This window comes from Homo sapiens, chromosome 16 (genome assembly GCF_000001405.40).
Source record: "Homo sapiens chromosome 16, GRCh38.p14 Primary Assembly".
In the NCBI taxonomy this organism is placed as follows: Eukaryota; Metazoa; Chordata; class Mammalia; order Primates; family Hominidae; genus Homo; species Homo sapiens.
This window is the reverse complement of record NC_000016.10, coordinates 74682367-74704569: the sequence shown is the minus strand read 5'-3', so window position 1 is coordinate 74704569 and position 22203 is coordinate 74682367. Positions and strand designations below refer to the sequence as shown.

The 22203-nt window shown below is 44.7% G+C and overlaps 1 protein-coding gene across 11 annotated transcripts in view, besides 2 other annotated features; it reads left to right on the top strand.

Annotated features, from left to right (window-relative positions):
- The window catches only part of MLKL (mixed lineage kinase domain like pseudokinase), a 29008-nt gene continuing 10512 nt past the window's right edge, over positions 3708-22203 (top strand). For 5 of the 11 annotated variants that reach the window (NM_152649.4, XM_047433704.1, XM_047433707.1 and 2 more), the window contains exons 1-6: positions 3708-4117; positions 8811-9272; positions 12154-12228; positions 13107-13293; positions 18987-19084; positions 21784-21919. In NM_152649.4, coding sequence (NP_689862.1) covers positions 8813-9272; positions 12154-12228; positions 13107-13293; positions 18987-19084; positions 21784-21919 — 956 coding nt within the window. In that variant the 5' untranslated portion in view covers positions 3708-4117; positions 8811-8812. The remainder of the gene's footprint in view (positions 4118-8810; positions 9273-12153; positions 12229-13106; positions 13294-18986; positions 19085-21783; positions 21920-22203) is intronic. The other 6 variants (XM_047433710.1, XM_047433708.1, XM_047433709.1 and 3 more) reach the window with 3 other exon arrangements.
- Positions 3805-4254: an enhancer, noted in NCBI's record as "active region_11108". NCBI's record gives its function as "activates an Ori minimal core promoter by ATAC-STARR-seq in GM12878 lymphoblastoid cells {active_cell/tissue: GM12878}" and the evidence as "EXISTENCE:reporter gene assay evidence [ECO:0000049][PMID:35858748]".
- Positions 10106-10275: a silencer, noted in NCBI's record as "fragment chr16:74728193-74728362 (GRCh37/hg19 assembly coordinates)". NCBI's record gives its function as "represses an EF-1alpha promoter that drives an FKBP-Casp9 reporter gene in an ReSE screen in K562 erythroleukemia cells {active_cell/tissue: K562}" and the evidence as "EXISTENCE:reporter gene assay evidence [ECO:0000049][PMID:32094911]".

The window sequence follows — 22203 nt, the reverse complement described above, 5'->3', positions numbered from 1 at the left end:
CCTTGTGATTTCTTCTTTGTCCCACTAGTTGTTTAAGTGTATGTTGTTTAATTTCTGCATATTTGTGAATATTCCAGTTCTCTTTCTGTTATTTATTTCTAGTTTTATTCTATTGTGGTCAAAGAAGATGCTTTGTATGATTTTGATCTGTTTAAATTTATTGAGCAAAATATATCTTCATTTCTCTTGAGAAAATGTCCTTTTTGACTCATGAATTATTTAGAAGCATATTATTTGACATGTGATTTGCAAACATTTTCTCCCAATCTGTAACTTGTCTTTTCATCCCCTTAAAAGGGTCTTTGCAGAGCAAGTTTCAAATTTTGATCAAGTCTGATTTATCATTTTTTAATTTTAAGAATAATGGCTTTGGGGCCAGGCGCAGTGGCTCATGCCTGTAATCCCAGCACTTTGGGAGGCCAAGGCAGGTAGATCACTTGAGGTCAGGAGTTCGAGACCAGCCTGGCCAACATGCTAAAACTCCATCTCTACTAAAAATACAAAAAAAAACTAGCCAAGCGTGGTGGCACATGCCTGTAGTCCCAGCTTGTTGGAAGGCTGAGGCAGGAGAATTGTTTGAGCCCTGGAGGTGGAGGTTGCAGTAAGCTGAGATCACAGCACTGCACTACAGCCTGGCAACAGAGGGAGACTCCGTCTCAAAAAAAAAAAAAAGAAAGAAAAAGAAAAGAAGAAAGAATAATAATGGCTTTGATGTTATGCCTAAGAATTCTTCGCCTAGCCTTAGGTTCTGAAGATTTTCTTCTACATGTTCTACAAGTTTTTTTTTTTTTCAAATGTTTGTGATTTTTTTTTTCAAATGGCAACTCCAAGATAAAGCCAAAGAAACTGGGAATTATTTTTAATATTGTACAATTTTTAGTATGAATAGCCATTCTTATTAAATAGACTCATTTGGCCAGGCAAGGTGGCTCAAGCTCGTAATCCCAACACTTTGGGGGGCCAAGGCATGAGGATTGCTTGAGTTCAGAAGTTCAAGATCAGCCTCAGCAACACAGGGAGACCTCTGTCTCTACTAAAAATAAAAACATTTTAAAGGGCTCATTTAAACTTTTTTCTTTTCTTTTTTTTTTTTTTTTTTTTTGAGACGGAGTCTCACTCTGCCACCCAGGCTGGTGTGCAATGGCGCGATCTCGGCTCACTGCAAGCTCCGCCTCCTGGGTTCACATCGTTCTCCTGCCTCAGCCTCCCGAGTAGCTGGGACTACAGGCACCCGCCACCACATCCGGCTAATTTTTTTTTGTATTTTTAGTAGAGATGGGGTTTCACCGTGTTAGCCAGGATGGTCTTAATCTCCTGACCTCGTGATCCGCCCACCTCGGCCTCCCAAAGTGCTGGGATTACAGGCGTGAGCCACTGCGACCGGCCCTAAACTTTTTTCAAACATTTACATTTTCTCAACAGGAAATGTCCTTTCATTCTGCACAGTTCTCTCTGCTTTCTTCTAAAAGGTTCCTTGTTTTACATTTTACATTTAAATCTCTGATCCATTCAGGCAATTTTTGCATAGAATATGAGGTTTAGGTGAAGTTCATTTTTTTGTTCAGTTACTCCACCACCATTTGAACACCACCTATCTGGCAAAGGATTAATATCTAGAATATTTAAACTCTCAAAACTCAAGTTTTTTAAAAAGAATTCAACTAAAAATGGGCAAAAGACATGGACAGACATTTCACCAATGAGGCTATACAGATGGCAAACAAGCACATGAAAACATGTCCATCATCACCAGGCACTAAAGAAATGCCAATTAAAACCATGATGAGACCAGGCGCAGTGGCTCATGCCTATAATCCCAGCACTTTGGGAGGCCAAGGTGGGTGGATCACCTGAGGTCAGGAGTTCGAGACCAGTCTGGCCAATATGGCGAAACGCTGTCTCTACTAAAAATACAAAAAATAGACAGGTGTGGTGGTGCACGCCTGTAGTCCCAGCTACTTGGGAGGCTGAGGCTGGAGAATCGCTTGAACCCAGGAGGTGGAGGTTGCAGTGAGCTGAGATGGCGCCACTGCACTCCAGCCTGGGCAACAGAGTAAGACTCTATCTCAAAACAAAACAAAACAAAAAACCATGATGATATATCACTATTCACCTGTTAGAATAGCTAAAAATTCAGGCAGGGACAAAATAAAATGCTGCTGAGGATGCAGAGAAACTGAATGTCTTGTACATTGATGGTGGGACAGTAAAAAAAAAAAAAAAGAAAAGAAAAGAAAAAAACTTCCAAAAGGTTATACATTGTATGATTTTGTTTATAGCAGATCAGTATACCCATCCTGCAGCTGCTATGAGTGTTGACAGCTAAACACTCACACAGCTTCCCCCTCGTCCAGAAGAATTGCCCTGGGCAGAAAGGAGGCTGCCTCTTGTTCCAGACCTTCACATTCCAGACCTCCCCATGGAGCCTCCACTGACTACATACTTGTTTCACTTTTTCTTCCTCTGCCCTATCATACCCACCACTCTCCTAAGAGTCTTCCTTCAATAAATCACAGGCACCTGTGTTACTTGTTGAAGGTGTCCAGGTTCTTGGCATCTTGAACAAAGAAATGGGCAAAATGCACAAAGCAAGGAAAGAATGAGGCAACAAAAGCAGAGATGTATTGAAAACAAAGGTACACTCCACAGGGTGGGAGCCAGCGTGAGCATAGGGGCTCAAGAACTCCGTTACAGAATTTTCTGGGATTTAAATACCCTCTAGAGGCTCCCATTGGTTAATTGGTGTACACCCTATGTAAATGAAGAAGATGAAGTGAAGTTGCTCAGTCACTTACTCAGTGAACGCCATATGTAAATGAAGAAAATATTTCCTGTCATAGCTGAAATGTGTCCATTTTATTTAGTTCTAAGAAGTCAGCGTGAATCAGCTTTATGTTCCCTGCCTGCAGACCCTATTCTCCTGCCTCACCTCAATCTCTTCACCTAAGACAGGAAGAAAACTGATGATGCAGGAGACGAAGAACAATAGCAAGGCGAAGAAATGAATCTCCAAGGCCGGCTTCAAGCGATTCTCCCCTCTCAGGCTCCCGAGTAGCTGGGATTACAGGCATGCACCACCACGCCTGGCTAATTTTTGTATTTTTAGTAGAGACAGGGTTTCCCCATGTTGGCCAGGATGGTCTTGAACTCCTGACCTCAGGTGATCTGGCCACCTCCGCCTCCCAAAGTGCTGGAATTACAGGCATGAGCCACCACACCCAGCTCCCAGTTCTGTTCTTTTAGAGGCAAATAGTCTGTTGAGTAAATGCATAACACTACTTAGACTTTCTAGCTGAAGATGTAGTTAATCTTAAGAAAACCTGACTCACACTGTAACAGGATGTTCTGCAATGACCTTAGAAGAGGAAGTGACTTTTTTCCCACTTTGGTGTCTCTTCCCTCGTACCCTCCCCACCCCGCCAATATTATCCAGCACAGAGAAGCAAACACCAGAAGCTTCTCTCCAACTTTCAGTTTTTCTCTAAACTTCCAGTCCTTCTCATACTGTGTCCTGGTTATAATAGTTGCTGGGACCTTATTCTATTCTGAATCCCCAGCCCCTAAAGAAGGCTTGGTACTGACGTGTACAGCGTAGTTACCCAGTGACTTTGGGGAAGGCAGGAAGAGTGTGGAAAGGACAGGAGGAAGGAAGGGAGGGGCCGTGGCTCCGAGCTGCCTAGAAAGCGGCTCCAGGGAGCCAGGGCACCGTGAGCCTGGTGGTTGGCAGCTGGAGCCACGTCGGAGGGGGAAGTGTCGCAGCATTCTCTGCAGGCATCACAGACCTGAGGCAGTGGCCTCCGGAGGGCACTGGACAGAAACAGCCATCCAAGTGGCTGAGTGGAGGGACCCTGCTCAAGTGCAGCTGCAGTGGCCGGGGTTTCCCTCAGGTAGGGATCGGGGCGCCTTGTCGCCGCCAGCCACGTGTGGCGTCCGGTACAGTCAGCAGAGTGCAGGGTGCGGGCACCAGGAAAGGGGGCGCAGGGGAACTCCCGCGGGCCTCGCGTTTGCAAACTTCTCGCCTGGGCAGGAGGCGGTCGTGGGAAAGAAGGTGGAAGAGCGAGCTTTTTGGAACTGTGCACGGGACAGATTGGACGCACACCCCTCGGGAGGCGCGAAGGTGAGCATGGGGTCTTCCCAGGAGGCGGCGGGGCCGAGGGGCTGCAGCCGAATTCCTGGACGGTGATGGGAAGAACCAGGGGTGAGGGTGGCCCGGTCCGAGTTCCTGGAACTCAGGACCGAGTTGGTTTCATTTCCTCAGCTCTGATGGTGGAGCTGCCTGCTCGGATCTCGCACTACCTTCCGCCAAAGCGAGACGCCCAGTAGCAGTGGGGGTCGTGGAGGGCAGGGGCACGGGAACAAGTTACCTGATGTCTTCTCAGAAAAAGGAAGTCTTCAGGTTTGCAGGCTGAAGGCGTGAGAGAGAGACAGAGTGAGAGAGAGAGAAGAGGGAAATGCCTGATAACCTTTACTTATTTTATTTTATTTTTATTTTTTATTTTTTGGAGGGAAGAGGTGAATTTGCATTGTTATTACCATTTAAAGATTTTTCACTTTTAAAATTAGTAACCTGTTTTCTCATCGTAACATATGAACATAATCCCCTTTTTCTTTTTATTTATTTATTTTGAGAGATGGAGTCTTCCTCTGTTGCCCAGGCTGGAGCGCAGTGGCACAATCATAGCTCACTGCAGCCTCCGAACTCATGGGCTCAAGTGATCCTCCAACCAGATCCTCCCAAGTAGCTAGGACTACAAGGTGCACATCACCACACCCAATTAAATTTTTTTTGTATTTTTTGGTAGAGCCAGGGTCTCGCTTTGTCACCCAGGCTGGTCTCAAACTCCTGGGCTCAGGTGATCCTCCTACCTCACCCTCCCAAAGTGCTGGGATTACAGGTGTGAGCCACTGCAGCTGGCCTGAACATATTCTTAGCTGTTTGTTTTACATATTATAAATAGCACTGCAGTGAACATCTCGGTAGCCATCTATCTACAAACACAAGCTTTTCTACATCATAAGTTCCTAGAAATTCAAATTGCCCAGTCTAAGTGTGTATATATGTATATTCCCTTTCTTCCCTTGTAGATCATATACTTAATAAGACCTTAAACAATTTAAGTTATTGTAGGGTGCTTTTTCCCAATATTTTGCAGTTTTTAATATATTTTAATTTCATACAGGCAAGTCCCCTTTTCTTTATTTTTTAAAATCCTGGTTATCCCTACTAATTTCCCATTTCAAATGAACTTTAGGATCATTTTGATTTAATGCCAAAATATGTCAGTAGATGTTTTATTGGAACTGCATTAAATTGGATTTAAATTTGGGAAGGATTGCTGGGTTGGTCTGTTTTAGTCTTCCCAGCCAGAAATATAACACTTCTCTTTCCTCCTTTCTTCAAGCTTTGTTTTGTGCAATTTTCTTTCTTTCTTTTTTTTTGTTTTTGTTTTTGTTTTTGAGACGGAGTTTTGCTCTGTTGCCCAGGTTGGAGCACAGTGGTGTGATCTCGGCTCAGTGCAACCTCCACCTCCCGGGTTCAAGCAATTCTCCTGCCTCAGCCTCCCGAGTAGCTGGGATTACAGGCGCCTGCTACCATGCTTGGCTAATTTTAGTATTTTTAGTAGAGATGGGGTTTCACCATGTTGGCCGGGCGATCTCAAACTCCCGACCTCAGGTGATCCACCTGCCTCGGCCTTCCAAAGCGCTGAGATTACAGGCATGAGCCAATGTGACCGCTGCAATTTTCTTCATACCATGCCACCACTGTATAATTTATTATTTGAAATTGTTTGTCAGTTCTATGGGTGGGATATTTTCCCCATTTTCCTTTCTGATTAGTTCAGTGCTGAGATATGGCTTTCTGATGAGGCTGCTGGTAAGATAACTGGAGCTTAGAGCTAGGAAGCTACAATTTGCAAGATTCCTTGAACAACATTGCCACATTTGCTTCTGTTTCTGGTGCAACAGAGAAAGTGTAAAACCTTTTGCCCTCACAATTCCCAAGAAATGGCCTTGAAGATATCTGCTTAGCACGTGGGAATAGCTGGGTAGTCTGAGATCCACTAGTCTTTTTAGGAGTGCCCTAATAACTGTTACCTCCCTTGCCCAATCACTGTAACTCTCAGGCAACAAAAACACAACTATATCGATTGCTCATTTATTTAGTTTCACTTCTGCCAGTGCCTTACTCATGTTTTAAAGCCATACTTGGGCTCCAGGCCAATTATTTTCTCCAAGCTGCTAATTAATCCATAAACTGGCGATAATACTTAACCTACCTATTTCACTGAGCTGTTAAAAAAAAAAAAACTAACTTTGTTTTTTGTTGTCGTTTGTTAGTGGTGGTGGTGGTGGTGTTTTTGAGACACTGTCTCATTCTGTTGCCCATGCTGGAATGGAGTCAGTGGCACAATCATGGCTCACTGCAGCCTCGACCTCCCAGCCTCAATCAATTCTCCCTCCTCAGGCTCCAGAGTAGCTGGGACTACAGGCAAGCACCACCACATCCAGCAAATTTTTGTATTTTTTTGTAGAGACAGGGTTTCACCATGTTGCCCAGGCTGGTCTCGAACTCAGGCTCATACGATCCCCTGGCCTCAGCCTCACAAAGTGCTGGGATTACAGGTTTGAGTCATGACACCCTACCCTAACTTTATTTTAAATACTTTGAAAACTGGTTCCATGGCCTTGTGATTATTTGAATGCAACCTCCCTGAACCGCAGCATCTTCACTTTTCACCTGTTTGTTTTTTCGAGACAGGGTCTCTCTGTTTCCCTGGCTGGAGTGCAGTGGTGTCATCATAGCTCACTGCAGCCTCAACCTCCCAGGCTCAAGCGATTCTCCCGCCTCAGCCTCCTGAGTAGCTGGGACTACAGGTCCCAGCTAATTTTTGTATTTTTAGTAGAGATGGGTCTCGCTGTGTTGCCCAGAATGGAACTCCTGGCCTCAAGCAATCTTCCCACCTCTACCTCCCAAAATGTTGGGATTACGGGTATGAACTACTGTGCCCAGATGGTATCTTCATCTGTTAAATGAAAATAACCATGGAGAGCTGGGGGTTCCAAAGCACTTAGGATGTAGTAGGTGAATTGAGAGATCTAGTGTCATAATTATTATCATCATTCATTGCTGAACGCAGTCGGCTTCAGTTGCAAATAAAGCAAACATGATTCAAACTGCCTTAAACAATCAGGGAGGTTATTGGTTCATGAAACCTGCAGTTAGGGGATGGGGTACACTTCATGTCAGTTCAAACCAGTGGCTCAATGTTGTCATCAAAGACTCAGATTCTTTCTCCCTTTCCATTCTACCATGCTCAGGTTAGCCTCATTCCAAGCTTTAGGATCAGGGCTCTGTGCTTCCTCACTCATGTTCAGAGAAGAGAGAGAGGTTAAGAGTAGGAAGCTGGCACTGCAGCCTCAACCTCCTGGACTCAAGGAATCCTCCTATCTCAACTTCCCAGGTAGCTGAGACTACGGGTGTGTGCCACCACACCAGGCTAACTTATATATATAATATATATGTAATATTATATATATGTATTACTATATATATGTAATATTATATATATGTATTACTATATATGTAATATTACATATATATTACTATATATATGTAATATTATATATATTACTATATATATGTAATGTATTACATTTTTTTGAGATGGTGCAACCTCCACCCCCTGGGTTCAAGCAATTCTCCTGGCTTAGCCCTCCGAGTAGCTGGGATTACAGGCATGCACCACCACACCTAGCTAATTTTTGTATTTTTAGTAGAGACGGGGTTTCACCATGTTGGCCAGGCTGGTTTCCAACTCCTGACCTCAAGTGATCCGCCCACCTCAGCCTTCCAAAGTGCTGGGATTACTGGCGTGAGTCACCGCGCCCAGCCAATTTTATATTTTATTTATTTCATTTTATTTTATTTTATTTTTTTTATTTTTGTAGAGAAAGGGTCTCACTTTGCTGTCCAGACTGGTCTGGAACTCCTGGCCTCAAGCAATCCTCCTGTCTCTTCCTCTCAAAGTGCTGGGATTATCGGTGGGAGCCACCTCGCCCAGCTGCATTTTTCTTAAAGGACTGTAGGAAGAAACTGAACAATTTTTTGTAGGAAAAATGAAAGATAGTCCACATGTTTTAAAAAAAAACAGAAAGAAACATATTTATCTGTGGCAGTAAAGACTACCTCAGCTCACTTCACTCATTTGAATTACCCGCCTGGCCCCTGAAACCTCTATGCTTTAGCAGGATATATCTGTAATAGACGAAACTGATATAAACATATCAACCTGAAAATATTAACGGTTTACATGCAATACAAGTTTATTCCTTGATCACTTAACAGTCCATGACAGACGTTCCAGGTCTGTGGGCAGCTCTCCTCCAAGTGATTATCCAGGGACTCAGGACTCTTCTTGGGGCTCCACCACCCCAGGGCCGCTTCACCCCACGCATCCAGCCAACCAAGGGAGAGTGTGAGGAGGCGGCACAGCTGCCCCAGTCCGAAGTAGAGCAGGTCACATGCACTTAAACCCCATTGGTGAGAACTAGTCACATGGCCACATCAAGTTGCAAGGAAGGCTGGGAGATGTAGTTCCGGCTGGACCAGCTCTTCCCAGCTACAACTCTATTATTGTGCAAGGGCAGAACAGATTTTGGTGGGTAGCAAACCATCTCTATCTTGCATGAAAATGCTGGGGAGACCTCCTCAGGCATTTAAGTCACAGACCGCTTTGATTCTTTCTTAGCCAAGTAGTGAATATGCAGGAGATTTGGGGATTTCACCAAATTCCATTCATTTCTTCCAGGCATGGAAAATTTGAAGCATATTATCACCCTTGGCCAGGTCATCCACAAACGGTGTGAAGAGATGAAATACTGCAAGAAACAGTGCCGGCGCCTGGGCCACCGCGTCCTCGGCCTGATCAAGCCTCTGGAGATGCTCCAGGACCAAGGAAAGAGGAGCGTGCCCTCTGAGAAGTTAACCACAGCCATGAACCGCTTCAAGGCTGCCCTGGAGGAGGCTAATGGGGAGATAGAAAAGTTCAGCAATAGATCCAATATCTGCAGGTTTCTAACAGCAAGCCAGGACAAAATACTCTTCAAGGACGTGAACAGGAAGCTGAGTGATGTCTGGAAGGAGCTCTCGCTGTTACTTCAGGTTGAGCAACGCATGCCTGTTTCACCCATAAGCCAAGGAGCGTCCTGGGCACAGGAAGATCAGCAGGATGCAGACGAAGACAGGCGAGCTTTCCAGATGCTAAGAAGAGGCAAGCTGGGTCTTTGGTGGGGAGTGGGAGTGCAGTTGAATGCATTTTAGTCTCACTTTAATTTACCAAAGGAGCAGCAATGATGAAGTTTGAGCAGTTGTAATATACTTGTACCTCAAAACTCCTAGCTGGGCGCGATGGCTCTCGCCTGTAATCCCAGCACTTTGGGAGGCCGAGGCGGGCTGATCACTAGGTCAGGAGACTGAGACCATCCTGGCTAACACGGTGAAACCCCGTCTCTACTAAAAATACAAAAAATTAGCCGGGCATGGTGGCGGGCGCCTGTAGTCCCAGCTACTCGGGAGGCTGAGGCAGGAGAACAGCGTGAACCCGGGAGGCAGAGCTTGCAGTGAGCTGAGATCGCGCCACTGCACTCCAGCCTGGGCGACAGAGCGAGACTCTGCCTCAGAAAACAAACAAACAAACAAACAAACAAACAAAACTCCTAACATCCTTTGGCCCAGATATATGGTGGGGGCTGGTGAAATTTGGGCAAGCCAGCGTTGAAGAGGAGTTTTGTTTTGTTTTGTTTCATTTTTTGAGACAGGGTCTCTGTTGCACGGGCTAGAGGACGGCGGCACAATCATAGCTCACTGCAGCCTCAGGTTCAAGTGATCCTCCCACCTCAGGCTCCCGAGTGGCTGGTACTATAGGTGTGCACGCCACAATGCCCAGCTAATTTTTATTTTATTTTTTGTAGTTAGAGAGTCTCACTATGTTGCCCAGGCTGGTGTAGAACTCCTGGCCTCAAGTGATCCTCTTGCCTCAGCCTCCCAAAGTGCTGGGATTACAGGCACCTAGGAGGTCGAGGCTGCAGTGAGCCACGATTTCTCCATTGCACTGCAGCCTGGGCGACAGAGCGAGATCCTGTCTCCAAAAACAAAGGATGGAGGGGGCCGGCGTGAGAAGTAAATCTCCCTCCTTGACCTCAGGGGCCCCTGTTTCCCTTTCTGAGGACATGAGACCTTCAGTACTAAAACTGGGGAAGTCTGATGGAAACCATATAGACAAAATGATAATCTCATCCATTGTTGGTAGGATATTTGTGCAACCTTTATCAAAATCTGAGATACAATCACACAATCTACCAGTTTCTTGAATACCCTTCTGGAGATTTAAGTATATATATTTTATTGTTGTTGTCACACAGTCAGCATCATGCCAAGCACATTGTTCTATTTCTTCTTTTCTCATTAAATAATCTTAAATATCCTCCCATGTAAATATCCATTGAATTATATAGCTTGTTTTCCTACTTGGCATCTACCCTACTGTTTTGTTTTGTTTTATGATCATACTAGCAGCACACAAATTCAAAAACAACCCAATACATACACCCATCATTTTTTCCCATTTTTTGTGATAAAATATACATAACATAAAATTTACCATTTCGGCCAGGCGGGGTGGCTCACGCCTGTAATCCCAGCACTTTGGGAGGCCGAGGCGGGCGGATCATGAGGTCAGGAGATTGAGACCATCCTGGCTAACACGGTGAAACCCCGTCTCTACTGAAAATACAAAAAATTAGACGGGCGAGGTGGTGGGCGCCTGTAGTCCCAGCTACTCGGGAGGCTGAGGCGGGGGAATGGCGTGAACCCCGCGGGGCGGAGCCTGCAGTGAGCTGAGATCGCTCCACTGCACTCCAGCCTGGGCGACAGAGAGATTCCGTCTCAAAAAAAAAAAAAAAAAAATTTACCATTTCAACCATTTTTAGATGCCAGTTCAGTGGCATCAAGTATATTCACATGGTTCTGAAACCATCGCGACCATCCATCACCAGAACTTTTTTTTTCTTTTCTTTCTTTCTTTCTTTCTTTTTTCTTTTCTTTTTTTTTTTTTTTGAGACAGAGTCTTGCTGGAGTGCAGTGACACGATCTTGGCTCACTGCAACCTCTGCTTCCTGGGTTCAAGTGATTCTTGTGCCTCAGTCACCCCAGTAGTTGGGATTACAGGCATGTGCCACCACACCCGGCTAATTTTTGTATTTTTAGTAGAGACGGGGTTTCACTATCTCTACTGACCAGTTTGGCCAGGCTGGTCTCAAACTCCTGACCTCAAGTGATCTGCCTGACTCGGCCTCCCAAAGTGCTAGGATTACAGGCATGAGCCACCACGCCTGGCCTATTTCAAGATATCTTTATGAGAAATTCCCAGAAGTGGAATTGCTAGGTAAAATCACTAGGTCAAAGACTGTAGGCATTTCAAATTTTGATAGAAGTTGCACAGATATTACTTCTACCAACTATGCATGAGTTATCTGCTTCTCTATACTTTTCCCATAAGAGACTTTCCCACTTTTAGTAGTCAGGGTTTCATGTCCCCAGAGCTCCTCAGTCCTGGGCAGACAGGGATGGCTGACCACTGTAAATAGTGTGTTATAAATTTTCAAACATGTTTCTGAGTATATAAATCAGGATTGATTTGATTATGCTGTGGTTTAAAAAACAACAACTCAGTGTTCTAAAGAAACAAGTTTATTTCTCATTCAGGCAAAGTCCAGGGGACTCTCCAAGGTGAATGTCCTCCTTCCAGGATACTTTCAATAGTATAGCACTTCTGCGTTGACGCAAACTTTCCTCACTTCCAAAGCAGCCAGGTTGGAACCTTATGCAGAGTCAGTTAAATGCTCCCTCTGGGAAGTGACAGACATCTCTTTTCTTCATTTCTTAGCCAAAGCAAGTTACCCAGCCATGCTTTAATGCATTTCCTATGTGCTCAGAAGTAGAAATCTGAATATTGGTGATCAGTAGTAATCCCTACCATAATGAATATGATAGGTAAAAAATGATATCTCAACAGTTTTAATTAGCATTTTAGTTTTGATTGGCGTGTGATTTTAATATCTATTTTGAGCATATACTGCCCTTTTTTCCTGCAGATAATGAAAAAATAGAAGCTTCACTGAGACGATTAGAAATCAACATGAAAGAAATCAAGGAAACTTTGAGGCAGTGTAAGTTATCATGTGCCCTGCTGTTTCTGATGGCCCCCAAACTAGAAGTCATCAGTTTACTGGGACCCCAGCCTCCCGCTACCCCTGCATTTGTCCATTTTCTGTGCTGGATGGCTGGAAGCAGCCCACAGGTTTGGGGATCCATTCATGGCTAGCCCAGGCTTCTGTCCATGGAATAACATGTGGAGAGAGCTTCTTGACCAGTAAGATACCTTCTAGCAGCTGTCAAAGTACTTAAAAACCTCTATGAATAGAATCAAAGCTTCAGTTCAGTTGCTGAATTTCCAAGAAGAAATTCAAATCAAATTTAAAATGCCCACTCATTCATTCATTCAACAAAACTGTGAGTATCTGGTTTATGCCAGAGGCCATGCAAAGAGGTAACTAAGATGCAGAGAAGGACACTGCCTTCCAGGAGCTCACGGGGTGGAGGAGGAAAGAGGAAAGACAGACAGTGAACACACAACAGCAAGGTTACTGAGCTTGAACTATGTCCCTAACTACTAGATCTGAAATGACTACGCCAGATGCCAGATGCTCAAGTGCCAAGCTCTGGGTAACAGGAATAGACATCCTTCCAGGATGAGAGAGATGAGTCTGGATGAGGGTTAAGGCTGGAGGGACAGGCGGGATTTGAAGAGGAGGGAAAGGAAGTGGATGACACATTCTGTTAACTGTCCAGCTGTGTCTCTACTGGTCACTCAGAGGCACGGGAGCCGCTCCCTTGGGCTGAGTCCATCAGAAGCCCCAGCCACCACCAGCTCTGGTTCATGTAGTAGAGCTTCCCACTCACACATCACAAATATGCCACCTCCCTTAGGACCCCTTCCTCTGCTCATTGACTCTTTTGTCTTCTTTCCTCTCGGGGGTGAGGTCAGATTTACCACCAAAATGCATGCAGGAGATCCCGCAAGAGCAAATCAAGGAGATCAAGAAGGAGCAGCTTTCAGGATCCCCGTGGATTCTGCTAAGGGAAAATGAAGTCAGCACACTTTATAAAGGAGAATACCACAGAGCTCCAGTGGCCATAAAAGTATTCAAAAAACTCCAGGCTGGCAGCATTGCGTAAGTTGTTTTGTGTGGTTCTCTCGTGTGTACCAATACTTACTCTAACTCTCCAAGGAGAGAGGGATATCGTCTCCATTTTTAGATGAGGAAGCCTGGGCCCTAAAGGGTTAAATTATGTGCTCTCCACTGTTAAGGAGCAGAGTCTTGACTTAAATACATCTTTCCACCTCAGTTCTAGGTCTTCTCTCCTTTGTCCACATATATATTTAAAAAAAAAAAACAACTTTCCCTTCCAACCTTGTTTCCCAGTTGCTCATCCCCTCCACAGACAGTAGTTCTAGTGTGTTTTGTTTGTATGTGTTCTTGTAAAATGTATGCATACATTTTTCATGTTCACAACTGGTAGAGTTACGTGTCTGTTGCCTCCTTTCCTCACTTTTTTCACTCAACATCATGAAACGTGTTCCATATCTGGACTCCTTAATTTCTGTCTGCCATCCATGGTGAAGATCCACATTTTGCCTTTTTTTTTTTTTTTTTTTTTTTTTTTTTGAGACAAGGTCTCACTCTGTTGTCCAGGCTGGAGTGCAGTGGTGAGATCATAGCTCATTGCAGCCTTAACCTCCTGGGCTCCAGCAATCCTCACACCTCAGCCTCCCAAGTAGCTGGGACTGCAGGTGTGCACCACCATTCTTGTCTAATATTTAAATTTTTTGTAGAGACAGGGACCCACTGTGCTGCCCAGGCTTGTCTGGAACTCCTGGACTCAAGCGCCTTCTGCCTCAGCCTTCCAAAATGTTGGGATAACAGGCGTGAGCCATATATTTTGTCTCTTTTTTTTTCCAGTGATGGAACCTAGTCAGCTTCCAACTTTTCCCCACCAAAAAGATGCCATACTTAGTTTCCCTTTAGGGACCTGTATAAGAATCCTTCAGGATATAGCACCAGGAGAGAAAATGATGGGCCATGGGATATGTGTATATTAAGTGACTAAGTACTACCAGGCAACTCTTCAGAACAGTGTCTATGCCTACACTCCCACAAGCAACCTCACCAACCCTTAGTGTTATCCAGCTTTCTGATTACTTTCATCTTTATAGTTATAAAGTGATCAATATCTTGTAGTTATTTGAACTTGCATTTCTGTTTTTACTAATGAATTCAAGCCCTTATTTACATGTTTTAGTTATTTGGGTTTTCTCTTCCATAAATTGCCTGTTCATATCCTCTGCCCTTTTTTCCATCACGGTTGCTGCTTTTGTCTTGTCTGTTTGTAAATCTTTGTATATTGTGGAAATAAAGCACTTGTCAGCTTTAGACATTGCAAGCTTTTTATTTGTGCTCTGGAGGTGTCCTGCTCCACCTCTAGATCTTAAAGGCATTCTATATTTTCCTCTCTTAACTTTCCAGTTTTATTTTTTATATTTAGGTTTTAATCCTACTAGAATCCACCTTTGTATGTGACGTTATGTAGGGTCAACTTTTATTTTTAGCCACATAGTAAGTCAGTTTTCTCTATACCATCTATTAAGTCGTCTGTCTTTTCCCTGTTGATTTGTGGTACCATATTTATTGTATATTAAGTTTTTATATAGACATAGATCTGACTCTGATCTGTCTAATCTTTCCCACTGATCAATTTGTCTGTTTTTGTACCAGTAACACACTGTTACTGTTTTTTTCATATGACTTTGCAGTAAATTTCGATATCTGGTAAAGAACTTCCTCCTCTTGATTCTTCTTTTTCAGGTTGACTTAGCTGAATAAATATCAAAGAAAGTTTTATCACACTCCTCAAAATACACATCAAGATTTTCATTGAGACTGTATTTTTAACAGTTTTATTGAGATATATTTTACATACCGTAAGATTTACCTATTTAAAATGTACAATTTAATGGCTTTAAATATATTTACAGGCCAGGTGCAGTGGCTCACGCCTGTAATCCCAGCACTTTGGGAGGCCAAGGAGGGCAGATCACCTGAGGTCAGGAGTTCAAGACCAGCCTGGCCAACATGGTGAAACCCCGTCTCTACTAAAAAATACAAAAATTAGCTGGGCATGGTGGCATGAGCCTATAATCCCAGCTACTTGGGAGGCTGAGGCAGGAGAATCACTTGAACCTTGGAGGCCAAGGTTGCAGTGAGCTGAGATCGTGCCACTGCACTCCAGCCTGGGTAACAGAGCAAGACTCCAACAAAAAAAAAAAAGAAAAAAAAAAGAAAAAAGGAAGGAAGGAAGGAGAAACCCTATACCCACTAGCAGTCATTCCTCTTTCACCCCTATCACCACCATCCTGAGCCCAGGCAACAGTCCTACCTTCTGTCTCTATAGATTTGCCTTTTCTGAATCTTCAATGTAAATGGAATAATACAATATGTGGCCTGTTGAGTCTGGCTTCTTTCACTTAGCATGATATTTTCAAGGTTCATCTATATTATAGCAAGTATCATTTCTTCATTCCTTTTTATGGCTGAATGATAGTCTGTTGTATGGATATCCTACTTATCCATTAATCAATTGAAGGACCTTGTGTTTTTTCCACTTTTTGATTATTATGAATAATGTTTCTGTGTACATTCATGTACAGGTTTTGGGGGTTTTTTGTTTTGTTCTGTTTGAGATGGAGTCTTGCTCTGTCACCCAGGCTGGAGTGTAGTGGTGTGATATCAGTCACTGCAACCTCCATCTCCTAGGTTCAAGCAATTCTCATGCCTCAGCCTCCCGAGTAGCTGGAACTACAGGCATGCACCACCAGGCCCAGTTAATTTTTGTATTTTTAGTGGTGACAGGGTTTCACCATGTTGGCCAGGCTGGTCTGAAACTCCTAACCTCAAGCAATCCACCCACCTTGGCCTCCCAAACTGCTGGGATTACAGGCTTGAGCCACTGCACCTGGCCCTCCTGTGTTTTCTTCTAAGAGTTTATAGTTTTTGGCTCTTATATTTAGGTTTCCGAAGTTAGAGTTAATTTTGGTGTATTGTATAAGGTAGTCATTCAACTTCATTTTTCTGCATGTTGATATTCACATGTCCCAGAGCCATTTGTTTAAAAGACTGTGCTGGCCTGGCACTGCAGCTCACATCTGTAATCCTAGCACTTTGGGAGGCCGAGGCAGGTGGATCACTTGAGGTCAGGAGTTTGAGACCAGCCTAGCCAACATGGCGAAACCCCATCTCCACTAAAAATACAAAAATTAGCCGGGCGTTGGCTGGGCGCAGTGGCTCACGACTGTAATCCTAGCACTTTGGGAGGCCAGGGCGGGCAGATCACCAGGTCAGGAGATCAAGACCATCCTGGCTAATATGGTGAAACCCGTCTCTACTAAAAATACAAAAAATTAGCCAGGTGTGGTGGCGGGCACCTGTAGTCCCAGCTACTCAGGAGGCTGAGGCAGGAGAATGGTGTGAACCTGAGAGGCAGAGCTTGCAGTGACCTGAGATCACGCCACTGCACTCCAGCCTGCTTGACAGAGCAAGACTCCATCGCAAAAAAAAATAGCCAGGCGTGGTGGCAGGCACCTGTAGTCCCAGCTACTTGGGAGGCTGAGGCAGTAGAATCTCTTGAACCCAGAAGGCAGGTATTGCAGTGAGCAGAAATTGCATCGCTGCACTCCAGCCTGGGTGACAGAGCAAGTTCCAAAAAAAAAAACTGTGAAAAATCAACTGGCTTTATATGTATGAGTTTATTTCCGGACCCCCAATTCTATTCCATTGATCTGTTTGTCTAGTCTTATGATAGCACTATACTGTCTTCATTACTGTAACCTTGTGATAAGTTTTGAAATTGAGAAGTATAAGTCTTCCAGCTTTGTTCTTCTTTTGCAAGACTGTCTTGGCTATCCTGAATTCCTTTCATTTCCACACAAATTTTAGGAATATCTTGTCAATTTCAGTTTTTGTTTTTGCTTTTTTTTTTTAAGCCAACTACAAATCGGGTAAGGATTGCATTGAACCTGTAGGTCAATTTGGAAAATGTTACCATCTTAATGGTATAAAGTCTTCCTATTCAAGAACATGGGACGTGTTTCCATTTATTTAGATCTTTTAAAATTTCTTGCTGGGTGCAGTGAGTTATGCCTATAATCCCAGCACTTTGGGAGGCTGAGGCAGGAGGATCACCTGAGGTCAGGAGTTCGAGACTAGTCTGGCCAACATGGTGAAACCCCGCCTCTACTATAAATACAAAAATTAGCCGGGCATGGTAGCAAGCGCCTGTAATCCCAGCTATTCGGGAGGCTGAGGCAGGAGAATTGCTTGAACCCAGGAGGCAGAGGTTGCAGTGAGCCGAGATCATGCCATTGCACTCAGCCTGGGCGACAAAAGTGAGGCTCCATCTCAAAAAACAAACAAACAAAACAAAACAAAATTCTTTCAACAATTTAGGTACAAAATTTTCAGGGTGAGACTTGCACTTCTTTTGTAAATTTATTCCTAAGTATTTTATTCTCTTTATGCTATTGGAAATGAAAATTTTTAATTTAATCTTTTGATTGTTAATTGCTAGCAGATAGAAATACAATTGATTTTTATAGGCTCTGAACCTGCCCTGATTCTCTGACAGACCTTGGACAAGCCTCCTTTGCCCTTTGAGTCTAAGACTCAGAGTGAATGAACAGATTGGATTGAGTTGGTGGTTCCAGTGATCCTCTTTAATAATTTACCTGCCTACATTTTTTAAGGCCCACGTTTTGGAAGGAATTTTGGTTATAAGATTTCACTTAATAAATATCTTTTTTTGTGTGTGTGTGGAGACGTAGTCTCGTTCTGTCACCCAGGCTGGAGTGCAATGGTGTGATCTCGGCTCACTGCAAGCTCCACCTCCTGGGTTCACGCCGTTCTCCTGCCTCAGCCTCCCAAGTAGCTGGGGCTACAGGCGCCCGCCACCACACCCAGCTAATTTTTTTGTATTTTTAGTAGAGACGGGGTTTCACCATGTTCGGCAGGATTGTCTCGAACTCCTGACCTTGTGATCCACCTGCCTCGGCCTCCCAAAGTGCTGGGATTACAGGCATGAGCCACCACGCCCGGCCTAGTATCATTATTTTTATTCATCAAAGACACACACCACGGGCTGGGCACGGTGACTCACACCTGAAATCCCAGCACTTTGGGAGGCGTAGGCAGGCAAATCACTTGAGGCCAGGAGTTTGACACCAGCCTGGCCAACATGGTGAAATCATGTCTCTGCAAAAAAAATACAAAAATTAGCCAAGCATGGTGGCACGCACCTGTAGTTCCAGCTACTCAGGTGGCTGAGGCATGAGAATTGCTTCAACCTGGGAGGTGGAGGCTGCAGTGAGCCAAGATCGCACCACTGCACTCCAGCCTGGGTGACAAAGCAAGACCCTGTCTCCAAAAAAAAAAAAAAGACACACACCACAATCTGTCAGAGTATATGCTAAACAACAGGTTACAGCCTAAAAACAGTAACAAATACTTGACTTTTTAGTTTGCCTAGTAAAGCCCTGTAGGTCATAAAAATACAATTCTATCAGACTATTTGAACTACTGAAAAGATATTAGCAAGTCCCATTAATATCTGACAGACCCCGAGGGACTAATTGTGCTGCCACAGGCACCTGAGGGGTTCCACATGTTGTTATCAGTAGCTGAGTTCATCCTGGCACCAGTTCTCACCCCAGATGCTGATACCCCCGCCCCCACATACACAGAGGGTCACCACACTGAATGTTCTCTAAGGAACCTTCCAGTTCTGAAATCCTGATTTCTCTCTTTAATCCTTATAGAATAGTGAGGCAGACTTTCAATAAGGAGATCAAAACCATGAAGAAATTCGAATCTCCCAACATCCTGCGTATATTTGGGATTTGCATTGATGAAACAGGTAAGGAATGCTTCTAGGATTGGTCAAGCTTTGGATGGCCTAGAACACACCTCCTGTGTTTTAATGTGTTGCATTTTTTTAAAGAACATCACAAAGGGTGGAATCCACAAAGTGTGATTATTATCAATGTTAATTTTTTTTTTTTCATCCCAAGATGCATGTTCTCATCTTCTTTCAGGAGGGCAGGGCTGAAGGCTGAGGGGTGGTTTGCACTAACATGGCCACATCTTCTCCTTTCAGCCCACTGGGAAATAAGGGGGTGCATGTTTAGATGCCAGCCTGGAAGAGGGGTGCATCTTGTTGCTCTAAAACATTATAAAGCTGCCAGGTGCAGTGGCTCACACCTGTAATCCCAGCACTTTGGTAAGCCGAGACAGGCAGGTCACTTGAGGTCAGGAGTTCAAGACCAGCCCAGCCAACATGGTGAAACCCCATCTCTACTAAAATACAAAAATTAGCTGGGTCTGGTGGCAGGCATCTGTAGTCCCAGCTACTCGGGAGGCTGAGGTGGGAGAATTGCTTGAACCTGGGAAGCGGAGGTTGCAGTGAGCTGAGGGTGCACCATTGCATTCCAGCCTGGGCAACAGAGCAAGACTCCGTCTCAAAAATAAAAATAAATTATAAAGCTGTCTGACCCAAAGAAGGAAAACACCCTTGGTCATCATTAGTATAGAACAAATCTAAAAGCAAAATTAACTTACCTGGCCAGGCGCTGTGGCTCAGCAGCACTTAGGGAGGCTGAGGTGGGTGGATCACAAGGTCAGGAGCTTGAGACCGTCCTGGCCAACATGATGAAACCCCGTCTCTACTAAAAATACAAAAAATTAGCCGGATGTGGTGGCACATGCCTCTAGTCCCAGCTACTCGGGAGGCTGAGGCAGGAGAATTGCTTGAACCTGGGAGGCGGAGTTTGCAGTGAGCCGAGATCATGCCACTGCACTCCAGCCTGGGTGACAGAGTGAGACTCTGTCTCAAACAAACAAAAAAAAAAACCATTACTTTACCCCTCTACCAAGAGCCTTATGTGACAGGCTCTTTTTTTTTTTTTTTTTTTCTTTTTTTCCCAATGTGACTGCATTTTCTCTCATGGAATGACCCCTCCTGCTGGTCATGTTTTGCTGCCGTCTTGCCTAGAGATTGGACAGAGCAACTCCTGTCTTATCCCCTTTGGAAGTTGCTCCACAGCCTCAGGCCAACTTGATTTCAGAGTGTGGAATCCCAATCTAAAGGGAAACGTAGGCCAGGCACGGTGGCTCACATCTGTAATCCCAGCACTTTGGGAGGCCAAGGTAGGTGGATCACCTGAGGTCAGGAGTTTGAGACCAGCCTGGCCAACATGATAAAACCCTGTCTCTACTAAAAATATAAAAATTAACTGGGCGTGGTGGTGGGTGCCTGTAGTCCCAGCTACTCGGGAGGCTGAGGCAGGAGAATTGCGTGAACCTGGGAGGCGGAGGTTGCAGTGAGCCAATATCATGCCACTGCACTCCAGCCTGGGTGACAGAGCTAGACTCTGTCTCAAAAAAATTAAAAAATAAAAAATAAAGACAAATGTTCAGCAACGTTTGTTCTCCTTGGGGACCGCTGAGGTGCCTGGCTCAGTCACATGTCAGTTTTGCAGCTCAGGCCCATGAATGGGGAAGTCGACTTCTTGTCTGAGTCCTCACCCGCCCCTGCCATGTGTGCCCTACTCATTCCTCCCACACAGATGTACGAAGCTTCTTGTGAGCACCCATGTGAACAAGACAGACACATTTCCTGCCTTCTTGGGAATCCAGTTGAGTGAGGAAGACATTCGCCAAATAACTGCTCAAGAAAATTTTGAATTATACCAAGAAAGGGAGATAGAAGTTAAAAAAGAAAAAGAAAAAGAATTTTTTTTTTTTTTTTTTGAGACAGAGTCTCATTCTGTCACTCAGGCTGGAGTGCGGTGGTACAATATGCTTACTGCAGCTTCCACCTCCGAGGTTCAAGCAATTCTCCTGCCTCAGCCTCCCTAATAGCTGGGACTACAGGCATGTCCCACCACACCTGGCTAATTTTTGCATTTTTCATAGAGACGAGGTTTCATCATGTTGGCCAGGCTGGTCTCGAACTCCTGGCCTCAAGTGATCCACCAGCCTCAGCCTCCCAAAGAGCCAGGATTACAGGCGTGAGTCACCACACCTGGCAGAACATTTTTTTTTTTTTTTTGAGATGTAGTGTCACTCTGTTGCCCAGGCTGGAGTGCAGTGGTGCAATCTCTGCCACGCAGCTTCAAGTGATTCTCCTGCCTCAGCCTCCCAAGTAGATGGGATTACACGCACCTGCCACCACACCCAGCTAATTTTTGTATTTTTAGTAGAGACATGGTTTCACCACGTAGGCCAGGCTGATCTCAAACTCCTGACCTTGTGTTCCACCCACATTGGTCTCCCAAAGTGCTGGGATTACAGGCATGAGCCAACGCACCCAGCCAATTTTTTTTTTAAGGTAGAATTACGACAAGCCAAGTATTATGGAGAAGAGGATGGGAATTCTGGGCATATTTGGTCCATTCAAGGAGGCCGGGGACCAAAACTGTGGGCTGAGGATTGGGGGAGAAATGGGACTCAGCAGAGCCAAGTCTGTATCTGTACCGAGGCTGGGAGAGGTGGGCTGCAGACATGGGAAGCTTCAAGTAGGGCGGGTCCTCATAGTGTCTGGCTCCTTTCCACCAGTGACTCCGCCTCAATTCTCCATTGTCATGGAGTACTGTGAACTCGGGACCCTGAGGGAGCTGTTGGATAGGGAAAAAGACCTCACACTTGGCAAGCGCATGGTCCTAGTCCTGGGGGCAGCCCGAGGCCTATACCGGTAAGACGGGGTGAAAAGGCGCCACTAAGGGTTGGATGGGTCTGTCCACACTCCTGATACTCCCAGAGATGGTGAGAGAACAGGCCAGACGCCCCAGACAGTCTCCCTCCCATACACTGTTTTACTATTTACTCTGATTACAGATAGGAGGGAGGAAAGAGGCTTAACCCAGGGAACACCAGCTCCCAGAACTGACGGTTGAAATTGATGTCCACACTGCACTTATAGAGTTGGATGAGCCCTAATTTTGGAGTGGACAGATTTAGCATAAAAATGAACATATC